The sequence below is a fragment of the Homo sapiens genome, chromosome 1, assembly GCF_000001405.40.
Source record: "Homo sapiens chromosome 1, GRCh38.p14 Primary Assembly".
Taxonomy (NCBI): domain Eukaryota; kingdom Metazoa; phylum Chordata; class Mammalia; order Primates; family Hominidae; genus Homo; species Homo sapiens.
The window spans coordinates 29,814,221-29,825,822 of record NC_000001.11 but is presented as its reverse complement, the minus strand read 5'-3'; the positions used below and the strand labels follow the sequence as shown (position 1 = coordinate 29,825,822).

Genomic DNA, 11,602 nt, shown 5'->3' with positions numbered 1-11,602 from the left:
TGTGTGTGCACATGTGTGAGTGCCTGTGTGTGTATGTGTGTGCATGTATGTGTGTGTCCATGGGTGTGCCTGTGTGTGTATGTGTGTGTGCATTGGTGTTTGAGTGCCTGTGTGTCTCTGTGTGCGTGTGTGTGTGTGATGTGAGTGTGTGTGCATGGGGGGTTGTGAGTACATGTATGTGTAGTGTGTCTGTGCGTGTGTGTGTATGTGTGTGTGCATGGGTGTGAATGTGAGTGTGAGTGCATGTGTGTGTCTGTGTGTGCATGTATGTGAATGCGTGTGTGTGCATGGGTGTGAGTCCACGTGTGTGCGCACACATGTGTGTGAATGTGTGAGTGTGTGCATGGCTGTGTGTGTGTCCATGAGTGTGTGTCTGTGTGTATGTGTGTGAGTGTGTGTGCATGGGTGTGTGTGAGTGCATGTGTGTGCGTGTGTGAATGTGTGCGTGCAAGTGCGCGTGTGTGCATGTGTGTGAATATGTATGTGTGCGCATGGGTGTGAGTACGTGTGTGTGTGCGTGTGTGTGAATGTGTATGTGTGTCTGTGAATGTGTATGAGTGTGCGTGGGTGTGTGTGTGTGCATGAGTGTGTGTGAGTGCCTGTGTGTATGTGTTTGTGTGTGTGACTATGTGTGAGAGAGAGAATGATGGAGACGAACCCCAGTGCCTCAGTGACAATGAACAGGAGGCAGCAGCTCAGACACATTTTGTAGCCCCAGCGCCAGCAATGGACTTTCCTGCGCTGCCAAGAGCCGGAGGGAGGCTCCAGGCAGGATTTTCAGACACCTCCTTGAGCCAGGCAGGGAAGGGCCAGAGCCCGGCTAAGGATCCACAGTGGAAACACACCAGCAACAGACAAAGCACAAAACCCTCTTGCAGAGTTTACATTGAAAGCCCTCCACAAAGGGCAAACATAGCCAACCCTGACTGAGCACTCACTGTATGCTGCGCGGAGGCTCAGCACGTTGTGTGGCCGTTTCTGAGTTAGCCGTTATGGCTGTCTCAGGGGAGGGAGGTGTAAGCAGGAGACTCTGCCCTCCCCTGCCCTGCCTCTGGCCTGGGGTGGCCTACCTCGCCCAGCCTCTCCAGGCGCTGACTAAAGCCACTGACACTTATCCTGAGAGGAACAGCAGGGGTTGGACAAGGCTGCCCTTAGGAGCCCCCAGGCCCTGACAGGTGTAGGCACCCAGGGGCCCTCTGCTGATCTTCCCTGTCCACCATCCCCCAAGGAAGTGTCATCCTCTCAGTTTTACAAGTGAGGGAGCTGAGGCTGGATCACAGGATGGTCAGTCGCTGAGGCTCGATTTCATCTTCACTGCAGGAGCCCTCAGCCGCACCCAGCCTGGGGCTTCGTCTCCTGCTCCATTCATAGTAGCTATTTGGCCCTGGACAAGTAAATTCCACCTCAGTTTCCCTATCTGCAAAACAGAGATAGTAATGACACCTACACCACAGAGCGTGCAGGGGGATTAAATGATTTAACACAGCAAAGGTGCAGCACAGGGCCTGGATCACAGGCAGTGCAGAGAAGAAGCTACTGAGTCAAGATCTCAGCCTCGCTCTCCCACTCGAGGCCAGGGCTCCTTTAGTTTCCTGGAGCTGCCCCTCCAGCAGGTGCAGGATGACACCTCCTGCTGGGCACACTCAGTGCCTCAGTAGACACCCCTCTGCCGTGTCGGACTGATGGCCTGGAGAACTCAGGAGGGGGCAGGTCTAGTAAGGACCCCAGGCCCCTCCCACCATACTGCAGGACGGGTCTCCTAAGATTCACCATAAAAAATAAGACATATTCTTTTGAAGTGAAGAAAATAAAGCACTACACTTCAGAGAACTACAATTTCATCTGAAGGAAAAAGGTGTCATTTTAAAAATTAAATCGTGTTTGTTTTCTTTGTATTCCCCCAATTCCAGAAGCAGTCAAGAGTGCCAAGACATGAATTTCAACAGAGCAAGGCATAAGTTAGGCAGATGGCCATCTGCATTGAGCCCAGGAGTGGCAGGCATGGGAGAGGAAGGAGGGTGAGCTTGCTCCAGGGTGACCTGCGTCTGCTCTGGGGCCTCAGCTCTGTGCCTGTGTGTTGACCAACCCAAGGATTCCAGGACCTGGAGTTTGCACACCTGGACTTTGGGAGCACCCAGCCATCCTGATCTCCAGTCCCAGCTCTGCTACTGACTAGCTAGGGTAGCTTGGGCATGAGATCAACCCCTCTGAGCCTCACTTATTCGTCTTTCAAAGGCACAGCATAATAGCGCCCACCTCACAATGTCCTTGGAAGGATTAAATGAGACAATGCCTGCAAAGCTCTGAGCCAGGGCCTGACATAGAGTGGACACCTCGAATATATTAGCTATTAATTCTGCATTTCCTTAAGATTTTTTTGCATTTTCGTATTTCTAAAAAATGGAATACAGGGAGGATGAAAAGACAAGCCATATATTGAGAAAGAATATTTGCAACAGACATATCTCATAAATAGCTGTTATTCAACATATACAGAGAAGGCTGTGTGCGGTGGCTCATGCCTGTCATCCCAACACTTTGGGAGGCCAAGGCAGTCTGATCACTTGAGCCCAGGAGTTGGAGATCAGCTTGAGCAACATGACAAAAATCCGTCTCTACAAAAAATACAAAAATTAGCTTGGCATGTGGTGCATGACTGTAGTTCCAGCTACTTGAGAAGCTGAGGTGGGAGGATTGTTTGAGCTCAGGAGGTCAAGGCTGCAGTGAGCCATGAGCCTGCCACTGTACCCCAGCCTGGGTGAAAGAGCAAGACCATCTCAAAAAAAAATCTTACTTGTGAATCCCTCAAATGTTATTGTTACTTCCTCGAACTGTTGATAGATTAATACATAACTGACCGACATTGAAAAGGACACCGATTTGTTTCTGAATCAGGAAATTTCACTGATTGTCTTGTACATAAAACTTCTTAGCCTGTATGTGGCATCTGTAGCCAATGATGATAAATTTTGTATTCTACCCTCCAATGGAAATGGACAACTCTGATATAGAGTCCCCTCCCTTCTCCTAAACTTTTTAATAAAAGCATTCCAACTTGTAACAGACCTGGGAACACACCTGGCTTTGTTGGTGGGTCTTCCTGGGTTGATCCTCAAATGCGATTTCTAATAAGCATTTAAGAAAATGAAATAAAAGAAGTTATTTCTGCCTCCACATCTTAATTTTGGTCTACATCTTAAAGCAACTGTAAGAAAACAAATAGCCCATTTAAAAAAATTGGCCAAAGACCTTAACAGACACCTTGCCAAAGAAGATAAAGATGGCAAATGATCATATGAAAAGATACGCTATATCATATGTCATCAAGGAAATACAAATTAAGACAATGAACTACCACCATACATTTATTAGAATGGCCAAAATCCAGGACATGGACAACACCAAATGCTGGTGAGGATATGAAGCAAAGGGAATTCTCATTAATTTCTGGTGGGAATGCAAAATGGTACAGCCACTTTGGAGGGCAGTTTGGCAATTTCCCTCAAAACTAAACATATGTTTACCACCTAGTAATCATGCTCCCTGGTATTTACTCAAAGGAGTGGAAGACTCAGGTCCACACAAAAACCTGCACATGAATGTTTGTAACAGCTTTACTCATGATTGCTGAAACTTGGAAGCAACCCAGATGTCCTTCAGTAGGTGAATGGCTAAATAAACTGTGGTACATCTGATACAGGGCTAAAAAGAAATTATTTAGGCAGTTAGTGAAGGTAAAGGAGTCCTTGGTAAGGTTTTTCTTTTAATGAAGAGTAGCTCCCAAATCATTTCTTATCTAACAAAAAGCAGCCTGAAAAATCAAGCTGCAAGTATAGATGAGCAAGCTGGAAGCCTGCATATGTGAATGCCAGCAGTTGTTCCAATAGTAAAGGGAAACCTGGAAGTCAGATATATTTAACATGAAGGTTCCCTCTTCCCTTTTCTTTGTTGCCATGTGTGCAAAGAAAAGCAGGCAACATGGCACCAGCCAGGTAAAAAATCCATTTGCATAATAAAAGATTAGGGTAGGATGGCCAGCCTCCTCACAAGCTATGTAAATGGCACACCTGGTCCAACCAATCCACTAGGCCTTATGTAAATCAGACACCACCTCCTCAAGCTCATCTATAAAACCAAACATATCTCACCCTAAACCCAGAAACCCATTCAGGACCCCTTCCTCTGCACAAGGAAGCTCTCTTCTTTCTTTCGCCTATTAAACTTTCAGCTCTTAAACTCACTCCTTGTGTGTCCACATCTTCGATTTCCTTAGCATGGGACAACAAACCTCAGGTACTTCCTGAGACAGATGACACCGTTTCATATCCAGACAATGGAATATTATTCAGTGCTAAAGATAGGAACTATCAAGCCATGAAAAAAAAAACATGAAGGAAACTTAAATGCATGTTATTAAGTGGAGGAAGCCAATCTGTAAAGGTTACATACTGTATGAGTTCAACTATATGTCATTCTAGAAAAGGCAAACTATGGAGATAGTAAACAGATCAGAGGTTTCCAGGAGTTGGGGTGGAAGGAGCGGTGAATAGGTGAAGCATGGAGGATGTTTAGGGCAGTGAAACTATTCTGTATGATACTGTCATGGTGGATGCATGTCATTATACATTTGTCTAAACTCACAGAATGTACAACACTAGGAGTGAACCCTAAGGTAAACCATAGACTTTGGCTTATAATGATGTGTCAATGTAAGTTCATCAGTTGTAACAAATCTATCTCTCTGGTGTGGGATTTTGATAACCTGGGAAGCTGTGCGTGTCAGGGTGGGGAGTATATGGGATGTCTCTGTCCCTGCTACTTAATTTTGCTGTGAATCTAAAACTGCTGTAAAAAATAAAGTCTATTTTTTAGAAAGAGTGGAATGTGTCTTACAATTGAAAAAATACATTTCTTGTCTCTTGTTCACTGAAAACCTATTACTAAACTAATGATAGATCTTTAAATCTCTTGTTCACCAAAAAAACTGTTCCTAAACTGATGACAGACCTTTAAAAATCCACAGTATCTGAGACGTGAGGAGGTGCAGTATTATTCATGAAAAACTCCATTCCTGTGAATGGCCCACAAGAAGACACATACTTGTAGGAACAAGTCTCAAAGCCAATAACTAATGGAGAGTTGAAGATGTTCACTTTGTTCAGTGAACAGCCAGGAAACCCAGGTGCCAGACTTCCATTCCTGCTAGGGTGGAGTAACAGGTTCTAGATTTATCCTCCAGACTTTGTTACAAAATAAATGAAGCAACAGTTTTCAATTCACTGAACTTCAGGCAATGATGAGTGATCCCTGAGAGAGGAATGTGATAAGGTCAGCCCATGGCTGCTCTGGCTTACAGCCTTGAGAGTTTCACAGCATGAGAAGGGAGAACGAGGTGGAGCCAGTAGACACCTGAATTAAGGAGATGAAGCTGAAATTTTGGCAGAATAAGGCAGCTAGATTTCATAGCACAGAACCCTGGAGAGGAGAAAACTGCACAGAGGAAAAGCTCTGAGAATCTGCAGAGGACCTTCGGTGAGTATTTCACTGAGCACCAATCCGCATACATGTGTGAAGGAAAGAGCTGAGACTGAGAAAGAATCATTCAAGAGGATTGGAGGGAACCATTCCCAGTGTTTGCACTGGGCTGGGGACACAACTGGTCCTATTATCTAGACTGGAAAATATTCTAATTCGCTGAGCATTAAGTAGAGTTCTCAGAAGAATCTTGCCTTGGGAGTAGGGAAAATTAGCTCTGGGCTGAACGCTGCTCTGGTCCCACCTAACAATTCTTTAAAGAAAGACCTGAAGGGCTTAAACTGTTTCCAGGCAACTTAATTAGGTCCTAGAACAAAGCTCAGGAATGCTTATAAGGATACAAAAACATTCACCACCCGAGGAGGGTAAAATTGAAAATATCTGACATCCCATTAAAGATTGCCAGGCATACAAAGCAGGAAAATATGACCCATAATGAGGAGAAAAATCAATCAATTATAACCAACCCTAAACTGACAGAGATGTTAGAATTTGCAGACAAAGACATTAAAACTACTCTTAACATTGTGTTCTCTATGTTCAAAAAGTTATGTAGGGACATAAAAAATATCTTTTAAAGAGCCAAACAAGTCCAGGTGCAGTGGCTCACACCTGTAATCCCAGCACTTCGGGAGGCCGAGGCAGGTGGATCACCTGAGGGTAGGAGCTCAAGACCAGCCTGGCCAACATGGTGAAACCCCATCTCTACAAAAATACAAAAATTAGCCAAGCATGATGGTGGGTGCCTGCAGTCCTAGCTACTGGGGAGGCTGAAGTAGGAGAATCGCTAGAACCCAGGAGGCAGAAGTTTCAGTGAGCTGAGATCGTGCCACTGCACTCCAGCCTGGGAGACAGAGCAAGACTCCATCTCAGAAAAACAAAAAAGGGCCAAATAAAAATTCAAGAGATGAAAACTACAGTGTTTGAGATGAAAAGTATACTATGTTGAAGAAAAGATTAGTAAGCTTGAAGGTATAGCAATAGAAACTATCCAAAATAAAATACGGAGAGAAAAAAAGAATTTTACAAAACTGAAAAGAGCATCTGTGAGCTGTGAAACAACTTCAAGCAGGTTGATATACTGGTCATTCAAGTCCCCAGAGGGGAAAGAGAAAGGGGGTGGAGCAGAAAAAAATACTTGAAGAAATAATAGCAGAAAATTTTCTAAATTTGGTGAAATCTGTAAACCCAGAGACTGAAGAATCTCAACAAATTCCCAGCACAAAAAAGGATAAAAAGCACATCATAATGAAATTTCTTAAAGCCTGTGATAAAAAGAATATATCAAAAGCCAACAGAGAAAAAAAATCAAGTACAAAGGAACAAAGATAACAACAGCAACCTATTTCTTTTCAGAAACAATAAAAGCAAGAGGAAAGTGAAACAACATTTTTAGAGTATTGAAAGAGAAATATCTGTGAACTTATAATTCTATAACCAGTAAAAATATCTTTCAAAATGAAGGTAAAATAAAAACTTTTTTCAGACATATAAAAATCCTCAATACAGAAATGTTAAAGATAGTCCTTCAGGCAGAAGGAAAATGATATCAGATGAAAATATGTATCTACACACAAAAAAATAAAAAGCACCAGAAATGTAAGATCTTTTCTTGTTTTTTGAAACATAATTCACACACACACACACACACAAATGATGAACATATAACTTTATATCCAGTGAAAATTTCTTTGAAAACATAACGCTATTGACAATAGCCCCAAGAAAAATGCAATAAATACGTATAAATCTAATAAAGCGTGGATAGTATTTATATGCTAGAAACTACAAAATGCTGTTGAAAGAAATTTTTTAAAGTCTTTAATAAATAAAAAGACATACCATGTTCATAGATTGGAAGATATCCCCAAGTGACATAATGCAATACCAATCAAAAGTTAAGGAAAAATTGTTTACATATATAAGGAAGTTGGTTCTAAAATTTGTATGAAAAGACAAAGGAACTAGTATAGATAAACAATTTTGGAAAGAAAAAACAATGTTGGGGGAATCACATCTTGATTTTAAGACTTCTTATAAAGCTACAGTAATTAAGACAATGTAATACTGGCAAAAAGAAAGGCATATTACATCAATGGAACAGGGTAGACAATCCAGAAATAAACTCATACAAATACAACCACTTCATCTTTGGCAAAGATACAAAAGCAATTCAATGGAGAAAGGATAATTTTTTTTAAATGGTATTATAAAAATTGGTCATCCATAAACAATCAAACAAAATAACCTTGACTTAAACTTCACATTTTATACAAGACTAACTCAAAAATAGATTACAGATAAAGACAGAAAGCATAAAACTATACAATTTTTAGAATACAATGTCAGATTCTTAGTGAACTCTTCACCACCAAAAGCATAGTCCATAAAATTAAAAACTGATAAATTGGATGTCATCAAAAGTTAAAATTTTTGTTCTGCCAAAGACTATCAAGACAATGAAGATAAGCTAGAGTGGAAGAAAATATTTGCAAACAACATATACAACAAAGAATTTGTACGCGAACTGTATAAGGAACTCTCAAAACTCAGCAATAAGAAAACAAATAATTAAAATGTGGGGAAAGATATCTGAAGAATGATAGACATACAGATCAATGGAACAGGCCAGAGAACTCAGAAATAAACCTACAAAAATATGACCAACTGATTTTTGACAAGGGTACAAAAGTAATTCAATGAAGAAAAAATAGCCCTTTCAACAAATGTTGTTGAAACAATTGAACATTCATAGGCCAAAAAAAAAAAAAAAGAACTTCATGCTAAGTCTCATATGTTATACAAAATTAACTGAAAATGATTCATGGGCTTAAGTGTAAAATACAAAGCTATAAAAGTTTTAGAACATAACATAGGGAAAAAATCTTCACAATCTAGGGCTAGGCAGAGTTCTCAGACTTGAGACCAAGAGTACAATTTGTAAAGGGAAAATTTGATGAATTGGATTTCATCAAAATTAAAAACTCTTGTTCTTCAAAAGACTTCATCGAAATGATGAAAAGACAAACTACAGAGGAGGATAAAATATTTGCAAAACACATATCCAACAAAGGACTAATGTCTAGAATATATAAAGAACTCCCAAAACTCTACAGTTAAATAAACAATTCAATTAGAAAACGGGCAAAAGATATGAAGAGATGTTTTATGAAAGCATAGACAGATGGCAAATAAGCACATGGAAAGATGCTCAACAGGACTGGATATGAGAGAAATACAAATTAAAACCACAATGAGATTCCACAATATGCCCATTAGCATGGCTAAAATAAAATACCAAATGCTAGCAAGGAAACAGATCATCTAGAACTTTTATACATGTTTGGTGAGAATGCAAAATAGTTCAGTCACTCTGGAAAATGATTTGACAAGCTAAACATCCTTGCCATATGACCCAGAAATCCCATATCTAGGATAGACAAATGCAAAATTATAATGAGACCTTTCAATACCCTTCTCTCAATTACCGATTAAAGTATGTAGCTAGAAAGTTAGTAAGAATATAGAAGACTTGAACAACACTATTAACTAACCTGACCTAAACTGACATTACAAGCAACAACAGCAGAGTGTACATTCTTTTCAAGTGGACATAGAACATTTTATAATATCGATCAGACCTTGGGCTGTAAAACAAGCCTCAATAAATGTAAAAGGATTCAAGATATACAAAATATGTTCTCTGGTCTCCATGTAAATACATTCAATAACAGAAAGATACCTGAGAAAGTCCCCAAAATATTTGGAAATTAAAATAACTTGACTTGAAGAAGGAATCAATAGAGAAATTTAAAAGTATTTTGAAACGAATGAAAATAAAAACACAACATACGAAAATTTGGGGAATGTTACTTAGGGGAAACTTATAGCATTAAACATCTGTATTTGAAAAGAAAAAGATTTCAAATTCCATTTTGAGAAACTAAGGGGGAAAAGACTAATTAAACCCAAACTCAGCAGAATAAAGGAAGAGTAAAGGACAGAGCAGAAACCTACAAAATAGATATCAGAACATTGACACAGGAAATCAATAAAACCAAAAACTGATTTTTCAAGAAAGTCAATAAAATTGATTGACCTCTAGACAGACAGTTTAGAAATGAGAGAGAGCAACAGAGCAGGGAAGGAGATGAAAATTACTAACATCAAATTGAGAAACATGACATAGCAAAGATTCTGAATATACAAAAATGATAATGAGGGGATAATCATGAACAACTTTATGCCAATAAATTGGACAACTTAGATGAAATCAGAAAACCCCCTGAAAGACACAAGCCACCAAAGTCCAATCAAGAAGTAGACATGGTAGATATTTTTTAAATTGAATTTTTAAGTAAAAACTTCTCCACACACAAAAAACTCCAGTCCCAAATGGCTTCACTGGAGAACTTAACTGATTGTTTAAGGAAGAAATAATGCCAAGCATATGCAAACTTTTCCAGAAATTAAAAGAGGAGGAGACACTTCCTTACTCATTCTATAGGACCAACATCAACCAGATAACAAAACCACGCAAAGACATTTACAAAAAGAATACCCACAGACCAATATCCTTTGTGAACATAAACAGAAAATTTCATAACAAAAATATATCAAGCCAAATCCAACAATAATAAAAAGGTAATACATCATGATCAAGTGAGGTTTATTCTAGGTTAGTTTAACATGTCAAAATCAAACTACATAATCCACATTCAGAAACTGAGAAAGGAAAACCATATGATCATCACAATAGATGTCAAACTTTTTAAATAAAATTCAACATTAATTATAAAAATGATCAGCAAACTAGGAACTTCCCCAACTAGACAAAGAGCACTGATGAAATACCTAGAGCTAACATCATTTTTAACAGCAAAATAGTATAAGATCAGGAACAAGAGAAAAATGCCTGCTCTCACCACATCTATACAAACGCATACTGGTCTAGGTAAGAAATACAGCAAGAAAAAGAAACAAAAGCAATCAGATTGAAAAGGAAAAAATAAAAACTGTTTTTATTCATAGATGTCATAATTGCCTCTGTAGAAAATCTAATGGACACTACAGAAGAAGCTACTAGAATGAATAAGTGAGTTTAGCAAGGTTGCAAAGTAAAAGATCAATATATGAAAAATAATTGTATTTTTATGTACTAGCAATGAAAACCAGAAATTAAAATTTAAAAGACTATGTATAATACTATAAAAATATAAAATCAGACTAAATCTGTCAAAAGATGTGCTAAAACTGAACTCTGAAAATTACGAAACAGTGCTGAGAAATTGAGGAGGACCTGACCAATGCAGAGAGGCACCGTATTCTTGGTTGGGAGACTCCATATTGTAAATATGTCAATTTTTCCCCAAATTGATCAATAGATTCAATGCAATCACAGGCAAAATCCCCATAGTCTTTTTTTTTTCAATAGAAATTGACAAATTTATTCTAAAATTCCTATGGATATGCAAAGGACCTAGATGGCCAAAAAGAAGAAGAAAAAATTAGAGGTCTAACACTATCTGATTTCAAGACTTCTTATAAAACTTCAAAAATTAAGGTAGTGTGGTGTTGATGGAAAGATAGTCAAATTAAGCAAAGGAACAGAATAGAGTCTAGAAATAGACCCACACATAGAGACAACTGATTTTTGATAAAGGTGCAAAGACAATTCACTGGGAAAAAATAGTCTTTTCAACAATTATGCTGAAGCAACCGGATGTCTATGTGCAAAAATATGAATCTTGGCCAGGCACTTTGGCTAACACATGTAATCCTAGCACTTTTGGAGGCTGAGATGGGAAGATTTCTTGAGCCAAGGAGTTCAATACCAGCCTGAGCAACATGGCAAAACCCTGTCTGTACCAAAAAAAAAAAAAACCACACACACACACACAAAAATTGGCCCAGCCTGGTGGCATGCACCTGTAGTCCCAGCTACTTGGTAGGCAGAGGTGGGAGGATCACTGGAGCCCAGAAGGTCAAGGTTGCAGTGAGCCATGATCACACCACTGCACTTCGACCTGGGTGACAGAATGACACCCTGTCAAAAAAATAATGAAAA

General features: G+C 39.3%; 2 annotated features.

Moving 5' to 3' along the window:
- Positions 400-899: an enhancer, noted in NCBI's record as "H3K4me1 hESC enhancer chr1:30297771-30298270 (GRCh37/hg19 assembly coordinates)". NCBI's record gives its function as "activates a minimal SCP1, AML or CMV promoter by ChIP-STARR-seq in primed H9 embryonic stem cells {active_cell/tissue: H9 hESC(primed)}" and the evidence as "EXISTENCE:reporter gene assay evidence [ECO:0000049][PMID:30033119]".
- Positions 1,495-1,699: a silencer, noted in NCBI's record as "fragment chr1:30296971-30297175 (GRCh37/hg19 assembly coordinates)". NCBI's record gives its function as "represses an EF-1alpha promoter that drives an FKBP-Casp9 reporter gene in an ReSE screen in HepG2 liver carcinoma cells {active_cell/tissue: HepG2}" and the evidence as "EXISTENCE:reporter gene assay evidence [ECO:0000049][PMID:32094911]".